This window comes from Homo sapiens, chromosome 7 (genome assembly GCF_000001405.40).
Source record: "Homo sapiens chromosome 7, GRCh38.p14 Primary Assembly".
Classification (NCBI taxonomy): domain Eukaryota; kingdom Metazoa; phylum Chordata; class Mammalia; order Primates; family Hominidae; genus Homo; species Homo sapiens.
In genome coordinates, this window is record NC_000007.14 from 55,406,140 (window position 1) to 55,429,102 (window position 22,963).

The following is a 22,963-nucleotide window of genomic DNA, read 5'->3' on the forward strand; positions in this document are numbered from 1 at the left end:
GGAGTGGAGTAGTTGCTAGAGAAGTGTGTGCCTGCAGACTTGGACTTCGTGCTCCTTCTTGAGATCCATGTTCAGAAAATGGTGGCACAAGCGGGATCCAAGGGTAGCATTTTCCACCCTCTGAGTCAAAAGGTGAAGCAGAGGAACAAAACCCCTCCCTGCATGTCCTTCATAGGCTGGCCAGAGCGTCCCTGGTGCCTTCTCAGGAACAAGTGCTGGCTGCTTGGGTTGTTGAAGCCACAGAAGATGGGGGAGCAGTCAGGTGGTTGTCGCTGGCAGTGCAGAGTCGGCTGAAAGATCTGGTTCCCGCTTAGCCCTTAGGGCAGAAAGCCTCATGGGGTCAGCAGGGGACGGGCAGAGCAGGGTGAGCCCCACCTCTTAGCCTGTCATGACTGGGAGCTTAGCTTCAAGGTTGCCTCAGGCTTCCTTGGCCAAGAAAGGGTCTGCTCAGTGAGTTGGGGGCTTAGAATTTGGTTCTTATTTCTCATTGTCTAGTAGTTTAGTCATGTAAAAGTGGTAGTTTCAACTGGAGGGTGTCGTTGGAAGGCTATCAGAACAATATATGCAAAAACTCTTAAAATATCACTTAAAAAGAACTCCACTTTCATGATAGCAGAATAAAAACAGTTCGCCTCTTGAAAATAATCTCAGAACAACCAGAAAAACAACAAAACAGAAACCGAAGTTCTTTGATGAAGCTAGGGGACATCTGGAGCTCCAGCTGCAAACCTGTGAACTGAAGCAGGCAAAAGAATGACAGCTGACCTGCTGGGATGAAAGATGGCGTCAGTGCCCGAGGGGGACGGTGCCCACGAGAAGCAAGTCAGTTTGTTCTACAGAACCCCAGAACTCAGGAGGGGAAAGTGCCATGTCCCCAGTAGGCATTGCCATACGTGGGCTTGGGGGACTCTCTGGCACAGGAGGCTTCTTTGAGCATGTGCAGTGGTTGGACCTCTGTGAGCACCTGCACCCAGCACAGGGAGGGAACTGCCTATCCTTCAACTCGTGCTGGAGACAAAAGGAGTTAGGTCTGGAAAAACTGACTAGGCTCTTTTCAATTCAGGAAAGCCAGATGTAGAAGAGAGTTGGAGTGAAGCACAGAACTAAAAATAGGGGGCGAGAGTGAGTGTCCATGGTCCAGGGTGAGACTGCCTCTCTGTCACCGCCAGCCTCAGGCACCGTCACCTCTCCCTCACCCCAAGGGGCAGCACCACCTCCACCCCACTCGGGGCTTGAAGTCACTTTTCCGAAGAAACAAGTAGCTCAGATAAAAGTTTCATAAGTACAGGTATTTGAAAGCCCCCATTAAAAAGTTAGTCTGCCATCCATGATGGTTAATTTTATGTGTCAACTTGACTGAGCCCTGGTGCCCAGACATGTGGTCAGACATTCTGGATGTTTCTTTGAGGGCGTTTTTGAATGAGATTTACATTTAAGTTGGTGGACTTTGAGTGAAGCCAGCTGCCCCATAGGATGTGAGTGGGCCTTGTCAATCAGTTGAAGGTCTGACTAGAACAAAATGCTGGACCCCCAGGCAAGAGAGGATTCTCCAGCACTCTGCTTTCAGACTCCAGCTGCAGCTCCTTCCTGAGTCTCCAGCTTGCTGGCCACCCCAGGCAGTTTGTGGACTCATGAAGCCTCTGCAGCCAGTTCCTTGGAGTGAATCTCTTTCTCTACTTTTACACATCCCGTTGGTCTACTTCTTTGGAGACCCCTGGCAATCCCCCATCCAGCCACTCCACAGTGATTCCCACCGTTCCGCAGCCCCTCCGGTGCACTGAGGACAGCGAGGAGCTGTGCCTTATGCGTGAGCACAGACCAGTAGCCGATGAGCGGACATGGCAGAAAAGCCCCAGCTTGAAAGATGGAGACCTGAACAAGTAGAAATAAAAACAAAGAGAAAGCAGGAAGTGGAAGAAAGCTTCGAATAAATAATAATTCATAATTAATATCCTCAGGGAAATAAGAGAAGCTGTTGCATCCAAGAAACAAACATTTGAGGGAAAAAGAGAGCTCTTGAAAATAAAATATATAATAGCTGAATTTTTAATAAGTTCATGAAAATGGGAAGCAAAGTCACATATCTTAGAAAGCAGGCAGAAATAGACAATGGGAGAGGAAAACGTAAGAAAGAGGATTAATCCAGGAGGTTCAGCATGTGACTAGTGGGAGACCTAGTGAGGGAGAACACACAATAGGAGGGAGGAAAATAACACAAAAATATGCTCTAGAAATGAGGGACATAGGCTGGGCGCAGTGGCTCATGCCTGTAATCCCAGCACTTTGGGAGGCCGAGGTGGGCGGATCACTGAGGTCAGGAGTTTGAGACCAGCCTGGCCAACACAGTGAAACCCCGTCTCTACTAAAAAAATACAAAAAATTACCTGGGCCTCATAGCGGGCACCTGCAATCCCAGCTGCTTGGGAGGCTGAGGCAGGAGAATCGCTCGAACCCGGGAGGGAGAGATTGCAGTGAGTCGAGATCACGCCACTGCACTCCAGCCTGGGTAACAGTATGAGACCCTGTCTCAAAAAAAAAGAAAAAAAAAGAAATGAGGGACATAGTTGCATATTGGAAAGACCTACCAGTTTCCTACACAATGAGTGCAGACAGACAAATCCACATCATGCCCGTTATTGTGAAAGCTTAAGATAAAGGGATAAAGAGACAATGCTTAAAACATTAGACGGGAAATAGCTGGGTGTAGTGGCATGCGCCTGTAGTCCCAGCTACTCGGGAGGCTGAGGCAGGAGAATTGCTTGAACCCAGGAGGTGGAGGTTGCAGTGAGCCGAGATCGTGCCACTGCACTCCAGCCTGGGCGACAGTGAAACTCTGTCTCAAAAAAAAAAAAAAAGAAAAGAAAAAAACAGGTTATGTACAAAGTCCAAAAATGACATTGGACTTTGCAACAGTTTCATTGAAGCTAAAAGATAAATGGAAATGATTTCCAAGTTTTTTTTTTTTTTGAGACGGAGTCTTGCTCTGTTGCCCAGGCTGGAGTGCACTGGCGCGAACTCGGCTCACTGCAAGCTCTGCCTCCCGGGTTCATGCCATTCTCCTGCCTCAACTCCTGAGTAGCTGGGACTACAGGCACCTGCCACCATGCCCGGCTAATTTTTTTTTTGTATTTTTTAGTGGAGATGGGGTTTCACCGTATTAGCCAGGACGGTCTCGATCTGACCTCATGATCCACCCGCCTCGGCCTCCCAAAGTGCTGGGATTACAGGCGTGAGCCACCGTGCCCGGCCAACTTCCAAGTTTTGAGTAAAAATGATTTCTAACGTTGCATTCTGCCCAGAAAGTTACCAATTAAATGTGGAGTAGAGCAAAGACTGTTTAAAACATCCTGTCCCCCAAATTTAATTTCCCTGTACTTCATCTCAGGAAGCTACTGGAGTGTGGTGTCTACCACAACAAGGGAGTACTCTAAGAAGGAGGATCAGATCCAGGGAAGAGGGGCTCCCATACAAGACAGGGGAGCAGAATCCCCAGGAAGTTGACAGGTGCAAGTCCCAGGACAGCAGTGTCACAGAAGACCTGGAAAGCAGCCAATTATGGAGAGTCGCCTCCAGGGAAAGCAAAGTCATAGTAGATTTGACCATGTGGAAAATCTTATCGAGAGACTTTTTACAGAGCTGTTGGTGGGTATGAAAAAGCTTAGGTACTGGTTTAAAGAAAACTAAGCAAATAAAATGTGAGAAAGTTACTCCAGGAAAAACTAAAAGGTGTAAAAGAATATCTGTAATTCAGTGTATTTCCTGTTTCAGGAGCAAACAATATTTGCATAGTATAGTCTGTAAAGAACACAGGATTATGGATGGTGACCAGAGTGAAACTAAAAATGGTGACCAGAGTGAAATTCTCTTGGGAAGATCAGAGGAAGGAAAGTGTCCCTCATCTGCCACAAGGGGAAACCTAGAATCAGTAACTCAGGGCACAGCCATGCATGGATTGTTTAGAAATACTGTGGTAATATGAATAAGCAGCTAACAACCACCACAACAAAAAGGAACTCAGTTGTGTCCTAGGAACGACATGGTCTGTTGGTCTTTGAGATAAGCTCCTCAACATTTTTTGACATTTTAAAGTGGTTCTGTATTGATTACCTGTAAGAAAGTAATTTTAAAAGTACCATGTAGCCTTTTGGAAATAAACTTAATGACCTATAGTTTTTAAAAAGCTAATATATTCTCTAAGTGTGTATCAGGAAAAACACCTAAAGATTTTCTACTAAGTATAGTTTTATTTCAATGAAATTTAGAAGTATTGATATTCCTTAAATTAGCTTTCCTTCATTTTTAATAAAATTAACTTTTTGTTGAAGAAATGAGGTTTTTATTTCATTCTGTAGGAGATGTCATGTTGTAAACTTTGGTGCTTATGGAATGATGAGAATTTAAAGCAATGCAATATTTTATTTCAGTTTTGAGAGTACTTTACGTCACCCCTGACATGTGCAATTAAAGCCAAGTGAAAAATCAGTGGCCAGAGGCGGGTTCTCTATCTCAGACTTTAGCAATATGCGGATTTATGTGGTGCTAACATGTCACTTTAAAGACATTGTGTGGTGTTAACATGTCACCCTGAGACGTTCTGTGGTGCTAATATGTCACCCTAAGACGTTTGTGTGGTGCTAACCTGTCACTCTAAAGATGTCGTGTGTTGTGAATGTGTCACCCTAAAGACATTGTGTGGCATTAACATGTCACTCTAAGGATGTCATGTGCTAATGTGTCACCCTAAAGATGTGAGGTGTTAACATGTCACCCTAAGATGTTCTGTGGCACTGTCATTCTAAGGATGTCATGTGGTGACATGTCACCCTGAGATGTTGTGTGATGTTAACATGTCACTCTGAAGGCATTGTGTGGCATTAACATGTCACCCTAAAGTCATTTTGTGGCATTAACATGTCACCCCAAAGACATTGTGTGGCATTAACATGTCACCCTAAGATGGCGTGTGGGCTGGCATGCCACCCTAAGATGCTCACTTAGCCCAGCTTTGCCATCTGACTCTTCTCACCAGGTTTTTTCATGGGAAGCTGTACAGTAACTTGAGACTCTTTGAATGTTTTTATTTAAGTCCTTTTAAAAAAACAGTGCCTCAAAATTAGCAAATATTTTCCAACTATGTTTTTAGTCTTAGTCCCTGTAGTAAAACTTTAACACACAAACTCAGTAATAAATTCTAGTAGGTAACATTTAATGAGTGCTTTCAGTTCGTAAAAGGCAGTATTGCCACAAATTGTTGGATGAAGGGGTGAGGCATGCATTTTTTTCTTACAAACACCTTAGGAGTTGAGTGCTATGATTATTCTATTTTAGAGATAAAGAAACTGAGGTTAAATAATTTGGCCAAGTAACAAAGCCAGTATATAGATTTGGGAGAAGAGGGGTACCTGGCTTTTTAGGAGGTGTGAGCCCCATGGAAGGAAATCAAGTATTGGTATTTTAACAAAGCAAAGCAACAAAACAAAACCTATCTACTCCTAGGTTCACTTGCCATTTAATCATTTCCTTTACTACTCTCTTAGGAGTGTAGTCCTAATCCACCAAAGAAGAGACAAAATACACTATAACACTAAGATTTCAAACAGTTGAAACAAGTTTTGCCTAAGTCTTAAATAACCAGATAGTTGAATGAATTCTAATTTTATGTGCTTTTTTTGTTTTCCAGGTAATTGATGTTTTGTTAGCCATGATACAATGTAAAAGAAATAACTTCAGAGAAAATAATTTGTGTTTCATTTTTGTTTGTTTAAAGCCGGCAGCAAAAGTGGACCAAGAAACCTTGACAGAAATGGTGAAACCCAGTATTGATTATGTGCGCCACAAAAAATTCCGATCTGGGAATTACCCATCATCATTAAGCAATGAAACAGACCGGCTGGTGCACTGGTGCCACGGCGCCCCGGGGGTCATCCACATGCTCATGCAGGCGTACAAGGTCAGTGCTTCCGCCGTCACGGCCGTCCCCTGTGTGGGGAGCCAGGTTTCCCTGTCAGGTTTTGGGTCTTGCTTTGGTAAGGCCATTTGACTGTACACTAAAAACCTTTTAGAATGATTGTTTTTACAAAATAAAGTCTCTGTATTTTACCACTCATCACCACTGTCATTAGTGCTGCAAGTCTGTGTGTGTGTATGTGTGTGATTGTGTGTGTTAACAGGGTTTATATTCATGTGTAAAAGAAAACCTAGATGACAGAGCAGTGGTGAGATGATTTTCATTCTAATGAGTATGGATATCCAGTAAGGTAGTGGACAGGATTATAACCAAAGTGCTTTTTTGTTCATTTTCACATAATTTTATTTTCTTGCTTGAATAAGCCTTTATTGCTGGATTATGATTGTCCAAGAACTTTTGAGTTTAAAATTGTTATGTTATTCTCAAGACATAGTGGTACTCAAATTTGTATACGTCTGGGGTACTATAGGAAAATTGGCTAAACCTTCACTGATTAATTCTCGTAGGCTTTAAATATATTTGGGCATAATATTAAGAGCGCTATTGATTTCTGTCCTGGACTAAGATTTATCATTTAAGATTTATCATTTAAGTTGAAGTGATGCTTCTTTTATAATTTTATTTTGTATTTAACACATCTGTGTTTGTAATAATTGATGTTGGAGATTGTTGCTCATACATCAGAGTATATAGCTGTAACACAATGATTGCTCTGTTCAACACAGTATTTTGGCAAGTTCTCTTTGTTTAGGATAGATAGGTGGAATTAATGGAGTGGAACTCATATTTCTACCTGGAAATAATAAGAACTGATACCTGAGTCAATTTTATTTTTTCTTTACAGCTACCGTAATAAATTACTTAGGAAAATTGTGGGGAATTATCTCTCATGATTTAGGCTAATTTCTCAGAAATTTTTAGTCCTCCTACAACAATACCAAAATATTCAAATCATATATAAGATATGATCATTCAAGAAAACAACTCAGAAAGTTACGACGTTTGGTCAGTGAAACACAATGAAATGTATTTTTTGAAAATAAGATGCATCTTCCTAACAGTACCCTCACTTTTACATTAAAACATAATTCTGTTCAAATCACTGCCTCCCTTTTTTAGAGTTTTGGAGCAGTTATAACTTCAGTGTCCTAGAGGGACATCTGTGATACAAATGTCCAACAATAACGTGTGAGCACAATATTGACTGTACAGACAGGGGCCCTCTGATACTTTTAAAACAAATATATAATTGCTAAAATGTGGAAGCTCCTTTTTGTCAAACTCCTTTTCCCTTCACTTTAAAGAGGCTCAGCCAACACAGCTGGGTGTTCCCGGTGGCTGATCTCTGCTGCCAGGTGTGCTTTTCCACTGTGTTTCAACTGAGCCCTGTGGAGAGCAAGCAGGTGCCAGGAACCAGGCTGTCCTGTGGGGACCCTTCCTCCTGGGCAGTTCCATTTTCATGAGTTCTGCAGACAGTGGCCACCATCTGTTTTCACCACTGCTGGCCACTTGGGAGCAAGCCAGCACGGCTCTGCCACTGACGGGCTGCAGGTGGCTGCGGCCAGCTCCTCCTGGCAGGGCTTCTGCATAGAATACCATTCAGACACCTTGCTTTGCCCTGCTGGTTCCAAAACAAATTTCTCTCCTCCAGAAAGCATAGAGCCAAAGATGTCAAGATCCCATACTTAGTCTTTAAAACTTAATTCTGTCCTCTACATTAAGATTCTTGAACATGAGGAACGAGGAGGAATATCAGAATCTTCTGGGGGTAGGAAGGCATCAGTGGTAATTTGAAAAAGCATATATATTTTGTATTTCAAAATAGCTAGAAGAGAAGATTTGAAATGTTCCCAGCATAAATAAATGATAAATGTTCAAGGTAATGGACATCCTGAATACATCATTACACATTGTATGCATGTATATCACATGCACCCATAAATATGTACAATTATTATATATCAATGAAAAATTTAAAAAGGAAAAAGCATATGTAATATGGTCTTAGAATTGGGGGTAAAAATACATCTTCTTCATAGTATAAACTACAGAAAATAAGTGTAGACTAAAGCTCTCTGCCAGCGGAGAAACAGACCCTGCGCCGTGGAGTCTGCACATCTGTTTGCGTCTCTGAGCAGAGGGCGAGGTTTGTGTTTGACCAAGGCAGGGGGTTCAGTGGGGGAGGCAAAACTAGGGAAGTACAGCTCTACACTGTTTTCTCTCAAGTTACAGTTAAGTTGAGAGGGCCTCCATTTATTAAAGCTGTCTCTTAAAATTAGGTAGGAAATGTTCAAGTTTTATGTAATAACAAGCTCTAACATTTTCTTCTCCTGGCATATGAAGTCCTAAGTTGTTCAGGCATGCTTATGAAGGTGTAAAGTGTTCAAGTACTTGAAAAAATATTATTAATTATCCTTTACAAAGAAAACTGTAAGTTCAGTCCAGACTCACAAAATTTATTTTCCCTCCCTGTAGATGCTCATCATGTGTTAGTATTTAGTAGGGTATATACTCTTCTGTGTAGGAACGTGTATTACTTGTTAATTTAAAGTTATGTGGTATTTTAGATGGCCTTAAAATGTAAAGGTTTGGCCAGACACTGTGGCTCACACCTGTAATCCCAGCACTTTGGGAGGCCAAGGCAGGAGGGTTGCTTGAGCCCAGGAGTTGGAGATCAGCCTGGGCAACATGGCAAAACCATGTCTCTACTAAAAAAAAATACAAAAATTATCTGGGTGTGGTGGCACGCACCTGTAGTCCCAGGTACCTAGGAGGCTGAGGTGGAAGGATGGTTTGAGCCTGGGAGGCGGAGGTTGCAGTGAGCTATGATCATGCCACTGCACTCCAGCCTGGGTGACACAGCAAGACCCTACCTCAAAAAAAAAAAAAAAAAAGAAAAGAAAAGAAAAAGGCAAGGTTTTAACAATATTCTACATTGTATTAGGAATTTTATTAATTGTGAATGATTTTCTAACAAATTACATCTGACAAAAAATCATGGGTAATGGTGGCAAATTCTTCCTTCTATTCACGTTTTGAGTTCTAGGGCATTAGGAATTTGTGTGGGTTTAGCCACTGTAAACAAATACATTTGTTAAATGAGATTGTATTTGGAAAGGTAAATGCAATGTCCAAAAAAAGCATATAATACCCCCACCAGGGTGACACGAGTGCAGTCCTTAGATGCTGAACTGAATCTGGCAGCAGCCACAGCATCACTGCTTGTGCCCACACGCCTGCCCTGGGAAGCCCCAGAGAGAACTGCATTGGGAGTGCCCCCTGGTGGCCAACTATTGTATATATGTCAGAAAATGCTTTCATACAAATTCTGTTCCCGAAGCTTGTTTGCAAGTTGATTATTTGAAACATGGAATGTTTTTCTAGGGGTATCAGAATTACTTGAAAAGTTTTTTTAAGCTATACTTTTTTTCCTCCTTACTCAAGATTCTGATACCTTCTTAATTTTAAGCATCACTTAAATAAATGTACCATAGTTTATCATTGTTTTTCTTTCTTTTTTTTGAGACACAGTGTCGCTCTGTCTCCCAGGCTGGAGTGTGCAGTGGCGCAGTTTTGGCTCACTACAACCTTTGCCTCCTGGGTTCAGGTGGTTCTTGTGTGTTAGCCTCCCAAGTAGCTGGGATTACAGGCACACGTCACCATGCCTGGCTAATTTTTTGTATTTTTAGTAGAGACGGGGTTTCACCATGTTGCCCAGGCTAGTCTTGAACTCCTGACCTTAGGTGATCTGCCTGCCTTGGCCTCCAAAACTGCTGGGATTACGGGCATGAGCCACTGTGTCCGGCCAGTTTATCATTGTTTTTCATCGGTTTCCAGGTTTTGGCTATTAGGAACAAGCTGCTATGAACATTCTTGCACAGGTCTGTCTAGAGACACATGTCTTCATTTCTTTTGGGTTAATATCTAGGAGTAGAATTACTGGATCGGAGGGTAGGTGTATGTTTAGTTTTAGAAATTGCCACTTTTTCCACAAGTTCTGGTTGTTCTGCATCTGCCAACACTTGATGTTGAAAGTCTTTTTAATTTTAATTATTTTGGTGGGTATTTCATTGTGGTTTTATTTGTATCTTCCTGATTGACCAGGGTTGATTAATGTTGCATGTGCTCATGGGCCAATTGTGTATCTTCCTTTGTTGACTGTCTCTTCATATCTTCTTCTTATTATTATTATTTTTTGAGACAGGGTCTTGCACTGTCACCCAGGCTGGAGTGCAGTGGTGGATCTTGGCTCACTGTAGCCTCGACCTTCAGGGCTCAGGTGATCCTCCCACTTCAACCTTCCAAGTAGCTGGGGACTACAGGCACGTGCCACCACACCTGGCTAAATCTTTTTATTTTTGTAGGGGTCTTGTTTTTTGCCCAGGCTGGTTTCGAACTCGTGGACTCAAGCAATCTTCCTGTCTTGGTCTCCCAAAGTGCTGGAATTATAGGTGTGAGCCACTGTGCCCAGCCTGTCTCTTCGTGTGTTTTACCTACATTGTTTTATTTTATTTTATTTTTGTCTTTTTGCTATTTTTGAAAGAATTCTTTATATGTTCTGGTTAAAGTCCCTCTGTCAGATATATATCGTACAAATAATTTCTCCCTGTCTGTAGTTTGCCTAATCATATTCTTTATGGTATCTTTTGACTAATAGAGTTTTAAATTTTGATAAAATCTATTTTTCAATGTTTTCTTTTTATGATAATTACTGTCTGTGTTTTGTCTAAGAAACCTTATCTACCCTCAGGTTATATAGATAATACTCTCCTTTAATCTTTATTGTTTTAGATTTTACCTTTAGGCCTGTGATTTATCTCAAATTAAGTTTTGTATATTACATGAGGTAACAAACGAGGTGGTTTTTTTTTTTTTTTTTTTTTTTTTTTGGAGACAGAGTCTCACTCTGTCGCCCAGGCTGGAGTGCAGTGGCACGATCTCTGCTCACTACAAGCTCCGCCTCCCAGGTTCACACCATTGTCCTGCTTCAGCCTCCCGAGTAGCTGGGACTACAGGCGCCCGTCACCACGCCTGGCTAATTTTTTGTATTTTTAGTAGAGATGGGGTTTCACCGTGTTAGCCGGGATGGTCTCTATCTCCTAACCTCATGATCTGCCCGCCTCGGCCTCCCAAAGTGCTGGGATTACAGGCGTGAGCCACCGTGCCCAGCCTGAGGTGTTTTTTTTTAACCATAGGGATATCTGATTGTTCCCATACCTTTTGTGGAAAAGACATTTATTTTTCCCATTTGATTGATTTTGGTTCCTCTATCAAAAATCAAATGACCTAATAAGCCTGGGTCTGTTTCTGGACTCTATTCAGTTACTTTGGCCTGTTTACCTACATGATATTACCACGTTGTTTTTCTTATTCTGCATTTATTGTAAGTTTTGAGATCAGGTAACTTAAGACCTCACTTTGTTCTTTTTCAGAATCACTTTGAATATTCCAAGTCCTTTGTATTTTCATATAAGTTTTAGAGTCCATTTGTCAGCTTCTAAAAATGGAGCCTATTGGAGTTATGAGTCAGAGTGCATTGAATCATTGAATCTCTAGATCCACTTGGGTAGAACTAACTGACATCTTTTTTTTTGAGATGGAGTCTTGCTTGGTCGCCCAGGCTGGAGTAGGTGTGATCTTGGCTCACTGCAACCTCCGCCTCCCAGGTTCAAGCAATTCTCCTGCCTCAGCCTCCTGAGTAGCTGGGATTACAGGTGCCCACCACCATACCCGGCTAGTTTTTGTATTTTTAGTAGAGACGGGGGTTTCACCATGTTCGCCAGGCTGGTCTCAAACTCCTGAGCTCAAGTGATCTGCCCGCCTTGGCCTCCCAAAGTGCTAGGATTACAGGCATGAGCCACTGTGCCTGGCCAGAACTGACATCTTAATAATGTTGAGTCCTTCTGCTCGCAAATGTGGTATATCTCTCCATTTATATTTTCTTTAATTTCTGTCAATAGTGCTTTATAGTTTTTGCTCTACAGGTCTTAACACATCTTCTGTTAAATTTATTCCTAGATATGTTATTTATTTACATTTTCCAATTATGTATTGCCAGTATATAGAAATACAATTGCGTTTTTTTTTTTGGAGACATAGAGTCTCACTCTGTTACCCAGGCTGAAGTGCAGTGGTGTGATCACGGCTCACTGCAGCCTCTACCTCCCCAGGCTCAAGATATCCTCCTGACTTAGCTGAGTAGCTGGGATTACAGGTGTGCACCACCATGCCTGGCTAATTTTTGTATTTTTTTGTAGAGATGGGGTTTCGCCATATTGACCAGGCTGGTCTCAAACTCCCAAGTTCAAGGGTTCTACCCACCTCGGCCTCCCAAAGTGCTGGGATTACAGGCTTGAGCCACTGTAACTGGCCACAGCTGCTTTTTGTATATTGACTTTATATTCTGTGCTAAATTCACGTATCAGTTCTGGTAGCTTTTTATACATTACTTAGGATTTTCTGTGTACACATATTGTATCTGTGAGTTTTCTTCTTCCTTTCCAACCTCTGTGCCTTTTATTTCCTTTACCTCTTTTATTACATTGGTTAGGAGCTATAGTATAATATTGAATAGAAGTGGTCAGAGTGGACATCTTTGCTTTATTCACAATCATAGAAAAAAATATTAAATATTTCCCCATCAAATATACTTTTAACTGTTTTTCTTAGATGGCTTTTATCAGATTGAAGAAGTTTCCTTTTATTACTGGTTATCATGAAGGGATGTTGAATTTTGTCATTTTTTTTTCCTGGATTTATTCAAACGCTCCTATGGTTTTCCTCTTTTGTTTTATTAATATGGTGATTTTACATTGATTGGTTTTTAAAAGTTGAGTCAACCTTGCATTCCTAGTATAAACCTCACTTGGGCATGATTTTTATCCTTTTCTTTTTATTAATATTGCTACATTTGGTCTGCTAATATTTTGTTAAAGATTTTTATGTTTCTTAGTACATATTTTCTTTTTCTATAAAATCTTTGTTTTTATTAGGAATCAGGTATCAGGATTATGCTGGTCACGTACATGAGTTGGAAAGTGTTTTCTCTTATTTTCAGAAAGATTTTGTGTACAATTGGTGTTATTACTTGCTTAAATGTTTGTGGGAAAATTTTTTATTATGAATTCAATTTCATTAATAGAATCATTTTGCATCAGTTTTGTTAATTGTGTTTTTCAATATGTTTTCTCATTTTATCTAAGTTGTCAAATTTATTGGCATAATGTTATTCATACCTCTTTTTTTTAATGTTTAGTAAGGTCTGAAGTGATAGTTTCTCTTTTGTTCTTTTCCTTTTTTTTTTTTTTTTTTGGAGATAGAATCTTGCTGTTTCTCCCAGGCTGGAGTGCAGTGGCACGATCTTGGCTCACTGCAACCTCCGCCTCCCGGGTTCAGGCAATTCTCCTGCTGCAGCCTTCCATGTAGTCGCGATTACAGACACGAGGTACCACGCCTGACTAATTTTTGTGTTTTTAGTAGAGACAGGATTTCACCATGTAGGCCAGGCTGGTCTCGAACTCCTGACCTCAGGTGATCCGCCTGCTTCGGCCTCCCAAAGTGCTGGGATTACAGGTGTGAGCCACCACTCTGGCCTCTCTTTTATTCTTGATATTAGTAATTTATGTTTTCTCTCTCTCATCAGTCTAGATAGCAGCTGTGTCAAAGTTGTATTGCTCTTTCAAAGAAATAAACATAAATTGTAGCTTTATCTATTTTCTATTTCATTGATTTTTCTTCTTTTCTTTTTAAAACTTCCTTCTATGGTTCTGGGCCCAGTGGCTCACTTCTATAATTCCAGCACTTTTGGAGGCCAAGGTGGAGGATAGCTTGAGGCCACAAGTTCAAGACCAACCTGGGCAACATAGTGAGACCTCATCTCTACAAAAAATCCAAAATTATCTGGGCATGGTGGTGCCACTGCACTCTAGCCTAGGTGACAGAGTCAGACCCTGTCTCAAAAAAAACATAAAAAATAAAAAATAAATAAAATTTCTTTCTATGGACTTTAGATTTACTTTGCTCTTTTCTAACTTTTTAAAGTGGAATCTTAGGTTTTGTACCTTTCTTTTTTTCTAATACAGGCATTTAAAGCTTTACATTTTCCTCTAAGCACTATTTTAGCTCTGTTCCCAAATATTTTATGTCTTGTTTTCATTTTCATTTAGTTTTAGATATTCCCTAATTACCCTTATGATTTCTCTTTTGATTCATGGGTTATTTAGAAGTGGGTTGTGTGTTTTTCAGATATTTGAGAATTGTGTGGATATTTTCATCGATTTCTGATTTAATTCCATTGTTGTTACAGAACATATTATGTACGATTTAACATTTTAAAATTTACTTAGATGTATTTTATGGCCCAGTATTTAGTCTGTCTTGACGAATGTCCCACGTGCGTTTGAATGGTCTAGTTGTCAGGCATAGTGTGCTAGAAATGTCAGTTAGGCCAATGGTTGGATGTATTGTTCAGATCTTCAATTACAGAGGTCAGCGAACTTCCTGTAATGACCCAGATAGTAAATATTTTAGGCTTGTGGTCCATGCAGTTTCTGCAACCACTCAGTTCTATCATTGTAGCACAAAAGCAGCCACAGCCAGTGTGTGAATGAACCATCATGACCTCACTCCAGGGAACTTCGTTTACAGATCAGACTGTGTGGGCTTGTAGTGTGCTGACCCTCACAGATTTGCCTTACATATTTGTTTCGGCTGTTTGTTTACTCAGTCATGGGAGGAGGAGTTTTACAGTCTCCCAACTGTTTATTTTCTTCTCTTTAATTTTCTTAGTGTTTGCTTCATGTATTTTGAGGCTCTGTTCTAATACATGTTTATGATGGTTATGTTTTCCTAATGAATTGACTCTTTTATCATCATGGAATGTTCCTTTTATCTCTGGTAATATTCTTTATCTTGAAGTCTACTTTGTCTGATATTAATGCAGCTGCTCCAGCATTTTGTAATTACTGTTTGCATGACACATCTTTTTGCTTTCAACCTGTATGGGACTTGTGTTATAGCTAGTCTAATAATCTCAGTGTTTTAATTGGAATTAGTTCATATATATTTAATGTAATTATTGATGTGGTTGGATTCAGCTCTGCCATTTTAAATTTTTTAAAATTACATTTTGTGTGTTTCCTCCCTCTACTTTTTCTTTCCTGCCTTTTTTTTTTTTAGGGAGGTAGAGAGATTAGTTGGAAATTTTTTAGGATTCTCTTTTTTCTGTTGACTCTTTTTTTTTTTTTTTTTGAGATGGAGTGTCGCTTTGTCACCCAGGCTGGAGTGCAGTGGTGCAATCTCAGCTCACTGCAACCTCCGCCTCCTGGGTTCAAGCAATTCTCCTGCCTCAGCCTCCTGAGTAGCTGGGACTACAGGCACGTGCCACCATGCCCAGCTGGCTAATTTTTGTATTTTTAGTAGAGACAGGGTTTCACCGTGTTGGCCAGGCTGGTCTCAAACTCCTGACCTCAGGTAATCCGCCAGCCTCGGCCTCCCTAAGTGCTGGGATTACAGGTGTGAGCGCCACCGTGCCTGGGCCTGTGTTAACTCTTTAACTGTATCTATTTGCGTATTTTTTTTACTAATGCTATAGGGGTTGCAATATATATGCTTAGCTTTTCATAATCTCCTTAGAGTTAACACTGAGCCACTTCGCATAAACTGTAAGAAACTCATAGGCAGGTGGTTCTGCTTCCTCCAGAGCTTTGCACTCTATCTGCCATATTTATAAAATCTATGAATGTTGTAAACCACTAATACAATGTTAGAATTTTTGCTTTATTTTTAATTTAAAAAATTGTTTTTGAAGAGACAGGGTCCTCACTATGTTGCCCAGGCTAGTCTCGAACTCCTGGGCTCAAGTGATCCTTCTGCTTCAGCCTCCTAAAGTGCTGGGATTACAGGTGTGAACTACCATAGGGGCTGGCCAGAAATTTTGCTTTAAATAGACCTGCATATTTTATTTGAATTGATACAAGCAAAAAAGATAGTTTTGATATTTATTTATGTATTTCCCATTTTTAGTGGTCTTTGTTTCTTCCTGAAGATCCTGATTTCTATCTGGTATTATTTCTTTCATCCTGTAGAATTTTACTTAGTATAGGTTTAGTGACAACAAATTGATTTTCATTTGTCTTAAATTTGTTTTTATTTCACCTTTATTCTTAAATACAGTTTTGCTGGGTGTGGAATTCTGGGTTGACTTTTTTTTCTTTTCGGTGCTTTAAAGGCAGTGTTCCGTCGTTGTCCACCTCTGTTCTTTCAAGGTCATTCTTTGCACTATTCTCTTGTATGGAACATGTGCTTTTTCTCTAGAGGCTTTCACAGTTTCCTCTTAATTTTGGGTTTTCAATAGTTTAACTGTTACATGCCTAGATGTATTTGTATTTATCGTGCTTAAGATCCTTTGAACTTGAATTTGTAAGTGTGTATCTTTTAGTACACTGGGGTGACTGGCCACTCTTTTCCTACAGGTTCCTGAGGCTTTTGTTTTCCAGATTTCTCGTTCTTCTCTGTAATTCGGATCAGATGATTGCTATTTCCCTGGTTTTGTATTCATTCATGATTTCTTCTGTTATGTCCAGCCTGCTCTTAAACCCACCCAGTGAGTTTTGTAATTTTACCTATTGATGTTTTCTAGGTCCAGAATATCCCTTTGTTTCTGTCTTATTCTCCCTTTCTCTTCTGAGGGTTCACTGATGATGAGTATAGTTCCCTTTTCATCTTTGAAGATATTTCTAGTAACTGCCTAAAACCCTTGTCCCTATTTCTGACGTTTGGGTCATCTTGGGATCCATCTGTTTTGTAGCATGGGCGCACAGGCCCAGGTCGGGTGCGGTGGAACAGGGACTCTAGCCCTGCCTCTGACTCCAGAGCCCTCGGGTTTTCCTTTGCATTGTGCTGTCTTTTCACACTTTCTGTCCTGTACTGCCCAGGGAAACTTACCATTTGGGGGAGGTAATGTGGATAAGTACATGGATTTTGTAGCCCATGTATGATTGCTGTAATACAATGTGGAGAAGATGTATCTGTGATTAAGTCCAGGAGCTTTTTTCTATAGTTCTGAATTCTTGGATGTCTCGCTGTTAGAAGTAGCTGTTTGCTTAGAGCATGAGTGTATGTGGTGGCAGGAGTGGGCATGGTAGGCTGCTGGTGCTGAGAAGCAGCAGTGCAGGCTGCATTGTGGGCATGGCTCTAGCAGCCTCAGCCTCGCAGGCGCAGGGACGGCATGAAGGAACCCTGTTCAGTTTCCCTGTGGACCATCACTCACCCAGGCTCCACCAGCAGGGGCAGCTCCAGCTCACTTTAGGGCTGGCCTCACTGTGTGATTTCAGAACACAGCCTCTCAAACAATATCTTCTCACCCATTAGCTTTGACCAAATATTTCCTTAGGATGGGAAAACATGTTTTCCTTTACAGTTCATTTTCAGAGGCTTAAGATGCAAGTGACAGGATGAAGTGTGTGTGCCGGCACAATACCGTAGAAAGAGTAATGGTTAATCATAGCCAGGAAATAGCTAGCACTTCCCATGTGCCAGGCACTGTTCCAGGAGCTCCATGGATGTGATCACATTTTAATCTTCATAGCAAGCCACTGAGGTGAAGGAATGTCATCCCTTTATAGTTGAGAAAACTAAGACATAGACTTTCAGTGACTTATCCAAGGTCACACAGTTAAAAGGTGACAGTAGGGACTCAGCTCAGGCTGTCTGACCCCAGAGCCCACATCTTAGCAGCCTTTGTGACTGATAGAGGGTGTCCTGCGTCTGATTCCCTAACAGCCTAACTTTGGGAACATTTAATCTCCCTGGTGATTTGCTGTGCCTCTGTTTCCCGCTGTGCCCTCTGTAGACACTGGTCGCAGTTCTCATGCCCTGCCCCCCAACCTCCGCCTTTTTCCTGAGGCCTCAGAGCCCTTCTCGGCTGAGTGTCCAGCTCATCAGTCACAAGTAGAGGGACCTGACCTGCCACCCAAGTAGTGATGACCTTTGTGCCTCTGATTCATTGTCCAAAACCCATTTGCACTGGAATGTGATGAGTTTAGCAGGTAGGGATAACTAAGAACAGACTCTGAGAAAAGGATCAGGAAAACAGTACATGGCCTGTGAGGAGAAAGAAGAAAATGTACAAGGGAATCTCAGGAAGTGAAAACCCACAGCTGCTTCTTGCCGTCTCTTGCCTTCACTGAGCCTGCCTGTCTCTGCAGCTGACCATATAAACAACTCAGGGAGGTGGTGCTTGCTCCTGGACCCCAGAAAGCTTTGTGCCAGCTTCCTTGGGATGGGTGAAGATGGATCTTCCTAGCCTGGTGGTGCAGGGTCCTCAGGTCCTGTTGATGTGTACTGATCAGTGTATTGGATACTCTTGCCCTGCTAACAGGGCCTCACTCTCTCGATTGCCTTCTACAAGAGCAGAAGTTTTAGAGCTATGGGATGTATGTGCCAAGAAACAAGGAAAACATCTTACCAAAAAGATATGGCAGCTTTAATTTTAATTTTAAAAACTAAATTTTAGCATTACTTTAGTAAAACCGTGAAACAGAAGGAGGACAAGGGGAATAGGCTAATGCAGGGGTCCCCAGCCCCCAGGCTGTGAATTGGTACTGGTCCGTGGCCTGTTAGGGACTGGGCTGCACAGCAGGAGGTGAGCAGCAGCGAGCAAGCGAAGCTTCAACTGTATTTACAGTCGCTCCCCATCACTTGCATTACTGTCTGAGCTCTGCCACCTGTCAGATCAGCGGCCACATTAGATTCTCGCAGGAGAGCGAACCGTATCGTGAACTGCTTATGCGAGGGATCTAGGTTGCGCGCTCCTTATGAGAATCTAACTAATGCCTGATGATCTGAGCTGGAACAGTTTCATCCCGAAACCATCCCCCACTCACCTTCCTGGCCATTGAAAAATGGTTCCACAAAACCAGTCACTGGTGCCAAAAAGGTTGGAGACCGCTGGGCTAATGGATTGAGATTGCGAGATTCTATGTACTGTGTTGCTGGTGTTTTTTTGTTTGTTTGTCTGTTTTTCACCCCCAGTGCCATTTCAGTTTTCCTAATATCATGCCATATTCTAACCAGAAAGGGAAAGTATTTTGCCAACTCATCGTTGAAACTGTCTTTTTAACACTGCTTTGTTTTTAATTTGCCCAGGTCTTTAAGGAGGAGAAGTACTTGAAAGAGGCCATGGAGTGTAGCGATGTGATTTGGCAGCGAGGTTTGCTGCGGAAGGGCTACGGGATATGCCATGGGACTGCTGGCAACGGCTATTCCTTCCTGTCCCTTTACCGTCTCACGCAGGATAAGAAGTACCTCTACCGAGCTTGCAAGGTGAGGGTGGCTCTGTTGGAACTGCTTCTGAACAACCCCGAGTGTGCACAGAATCCAGAGTCCAGAAGTACAACTCCTGTTCCTTCTTTTAACCTGTTTCTCCCAGTTCTGTAGCTTCCTCTTTTTCTTCTGGCACAGCCTTATCTGTGGTTTCTCTGGGCCACAGTGTCCCTGTCTGTAGAATGGAGAGGACAAATGTCAATGGCTTCTGAAGAATATGTGTCCTGGAGTCACTACGTGATGAGAATTACCACCTGTGCCATTTATTGGCTTTATGAGTTTGGATATGTCTCTTCTTCAAGCCTCAGTTTCCTCATTTGTACAGACAGAAAAAAAATACTACCCACCTCCTAAGGATGTTCCAAGCAGAACTGAGCTAATGTGCAGATTGTTTGTAATCGTCCTGCCAAAACCCTCCACGGCTTCCCATTGACTGCAGATGGAGCCTATGCTCCTCCGCTGAGTTGACAGAGCCCTGCGCACCTTGGCCCCTCTCTGTGTCTCTGCCTGATCTCCTTGCCTTACCCTGCCCTCTAGCCCGCCATAATACAGCCATGTTGCCCTCTCTAAGAACGGAGTGTGTCACTCTTGTTTCCGCTGGACCTGTCGTTAACTGTTCCCTTCAGGAGCACTCTTCCTTCAGCTCCTTGCCATGCTGATCTGAATTGTGACATTCTTGGAGGGATCTTTGAGACCCCCCAAGTGGATGATCACTCAGTTGCTCATTGTATGTTTTGGCTTGTTTCTTGAGTGTGTAGGCTGGTAGAACATAAGCTTCTTGATCTTGTCTGTCTGGGTCACTATTCTACACTAGTACTTGGAGCAGTGCATAGCACCGAGTAGAAACTCAGTAAACATGCACTGGACATGTGAAGATGAATGGCATAGAGCAAGACTCAGTAAATGTTTGCTAGTATTTTTATTATGTACACATTTCACAAAATGTAGTTGTGTGCACACAGAAAAAAGATTGGAAGAAAATACACTAAAGTGTGTACAGTGACCCTTGTTAGATGGAGGCATTGCGGCTGATATGTTCTTTATACTTTTTGAACATCTATTACTTTCTGAAGACTTCTCAACCCCAGTGGAATGGGCCCTACCTCGTTGGTGCACTGGAAAATGCACACACATCTGTGGCTCCCCCACTGATGGAAGCATGAAGGAGGCTGTGGAAGCAAAGAGGGCAGGGCCCAACTTGGCATAGCAGGTCAGCAAGGGATGTCTCAGCCAAGACCTGAGGGACAGCTCGAAATTAAGCAAAGGGGGATGAGGAAAGATGTGAAAAGGAGAAGAAACTGCTGTTCCAAAGGCCCGGAGGTGTGAGCACCCAGGGCCTGTGTGAACTACACTGTGGCTGGAGCACGGGGGATGGGGCAAAACAGGAGCCAGCGAGCGGGGAGCAGCCAGATTCCGCAGGCCTGGGCCAGCCTTGATGATGTGATGATGGTAGATGACTATGCAAATATGGGCAATGCGAGAAGACCGCAGGAGGGGTGAGACGCAGCCGGTTCTTTAAAGATGAGGGGTTTTTCAGGTGGGCCAGGCAGGGGTGGCCTGCAGAGGTGGAATGCAGTTCTGATAAGGAGAATAGCTTGGGCAGAGCTGCAGAGCACGAACCAGCTCTGTGTGTTCCTGACTCCGTAAGCACTTCAGCCTTTGGGATGCAAAGGGAAGGAAATGTGTGGCCAAAGGTAAAAGTCAGACAGGTGGGTAGAGGCCAGAGAAAGTTAGTTCTTCCCTGTAGCCAGTAGTTCTCAACCTTGTACCACTGGGAAGCTTTCAAATCATGCCTGGACCTCACTCTAGACCAGTTAAATGAGGAAGCCTCAGCACTAATATTTTTCAAGCTCCCCCAGTAAGTTTAATAATCAGCTAGCACTGGATACTGATATGGAAGATGGGGGCTCATGGAAGGGTTTGGAATCCATATTCAGACTCCTCTTTTGGAAAGATTGCTGTAGTCCCAGTAGGAAGAATGAGGCGGGCTTGGGTTTCCCCAAATAGTGGTTTAGTAATTAATGCAAGAAATGTTGAGTCATAAACCAAAGCATAGGTTGGGATAAAAAATGAGACATTTAGAAACACCTATGATGTAAAGCCCACAGAATTTAACGCATGTTTTTAAATGTGGAGAAGATGGAAATATCTGAAGGTCTTTCTGTTGTCTGACTCGGAAAACTGGGTAGATGGGCCATCAAACAAGCTAAGAGTGAGCAGATTGGGAGGGGAAAAGCAGAGTGAGTTTCTTTTTACGTGTGCTGAACTTGATACTCCTCATGTTTATTACTTATGATTCTTAGTGTACAAATGACCCTTCAAATTATGATAGCTTAGGCACAAAAGGGAAGTTTATTAAAACGATATGGAAACACCCATTGAAGAGGTCTAAGAAGAAAGGGTCAAGGAGCTCAGAGGAGAGCACAGGGAGGGCTGAGGGCCGGGGGCTGGGAAGGTGGAGAGGCTGCCAAGCAGCAGCAGCAGCTGTGGAGGGGCTGCAGTGAGAGGCGGCGCCCCAGGCAGGGCTGAAGCTGTTTCCCAGCTGGGGCCAGGGGAGCCAGCAGCTGCTGCTGAGAGCCATTTTAGAGCCAGGGTTTTTTGTTCAGGATAGAGCAGGCGTTTCGAGTTGCTTCTGGAATCATCAGCTGAAGCGGCAGGAGGAAGGTGCCAGGGAGAACAGAGTGTCGTTGAGCCGTTCGGTTTTCACCTCGGACTTCCCAGCAGCTGTAAGGCAGACCCCACTCTACAGCTGAGGCAGCCGCAAGCAGAGCCTTGCTGGGCCTCACCCCTGGAAGAGGGGGTGCAGTAGCCCATGGAGCCCACGCTGAATGCCCTACAGCTGGGGGTCCACTTCCCTGATGCCTGTGAAGACATTGCATTCTCATTTATTGCCTTTTCACCAGGTAGAAACTCCAGTCTTAAAAAGAAATCCCTTTCTTTTCAGTTTGCAGAGTGGTGTCTAGATTACGGAGCACACGGGTGCCGCATTCCTGACAGACCCTATTCGCTCTTTGAAGGTAAGAGTGAGAAAAATGCTATAGATTAAATGTTTGGGTGAAATTGGTTCTCCTGCCCTTGTGGACTGGCACTGTTCATATTTGACCTGGCTCAAGTAATACTTCCAAACTGTAAAATAATCAGCAGAGTAGCTTATTGCTGAAAATTATGTTGAATCTCTTCACCTTACCTATTGTTTTGTGCTCCTGTGAATGTCTTCCAAGTGTTCTTAGGTTTTTTGTGAGGTGTCTATGCAGACAGAACGTAGAAGGCTTGCTGTTAGCAATGGAAGAAATAGTTTACTCCTCTGCATTTCATCTGTAATGTTGCATATTTAATATTGGTGTATTCATGGGAAGCTTGAATAATTACTTAAATATATTTAATATCATATAAAGAAGTATGAATAATTAATATTAGCAATTAGAAATATTAGTAAGTAGAAAAAATAGCAAGAGTGAATATTGAAGAAAGTTCTGAAAAGAGGAGCACTGATAGGCAGGCAGTGAAAGCAACAAGGATTCCAGAGTCCACCACGGGCGCAGGGAAGGGAAGACAGGAGCACAAACAGAAGCCCCACAAACAGGCCCGGATATTCGTTAGATTTGTATGTGGGTATGGGCGTGCTTTCTGTTTGCTAACATTTTGGTAAAGGTTTTTGCATCTCTATTCATG

At 42.4% G+C, this 22,963-nt stretch overlaps 1 protein-coding gene across 2 annotated transcripts in view, besides 2 other annotated features; it reads left to right on the forward strand.

The window, feature by feature from the left end:
- The window catches only part of LANCL2 (LanC like glutathione S-transferase 2), a 68,401-nt gene that overhangs the window by 40,803 nt on the left and 4,635 nt on the right, over positions 1 to 22,963 (forward strand). For both annotated transcript variants that reach the window (NM_018697.4, XM_047420614.1), the window contains 3 exons: positions 5,768 to 5,950; positions 19,115 to 19,291; positions 22,236 to 22,308. In NM_018697.4, the coding sequence (NP_061167.1) occupies positions 5,768 to 5,950; positions 19,115 to 19,291; positions 22,236 to 22,308 (433 nt within the window). The remainder of the gene's footprint in view (positions 1 to 5,767; positions 5,951 to 19,114; positions 19,292 to 22,235; positions 22,309 to 22,963) is intronic.
- Positions 21,346 to 21,850: an enhancer, noted in NCBI's record as "H3K4me1 hESC enhancer chr7:55495178-55495682 (GRCh37/hg19 assembly coordinates)". NCBI's record gives its function as "activates a minimal SCP1, AML or CMV promoter by ChIP-STARR-seq in naive H9 embryonic stem cells {active_cell/tissue: H9 hESC(naive)}" and the evidence as "EXISTENCE:reporter gene assay evidence [ECO:0000049][PMID:30033119]".
- Positions 21,851 to 22,353: an enhancer, noted in NCBI's record as "H3K4me1 hESC enhancer chr7:55495683-55496185 (GRCh37/hg19 assembly coordinates)". NCBI's record gives its function as "activates a minimal SCP1, AML or CMV promoter by ChIP-STARR-seq in naive H9 embryonic stem cells {active_cell/tissue: H9 hESC(naive)}" and the evidence as "EXISTENCE:reporter gene assay evidence [ECO:0000049][PMID:30033119]".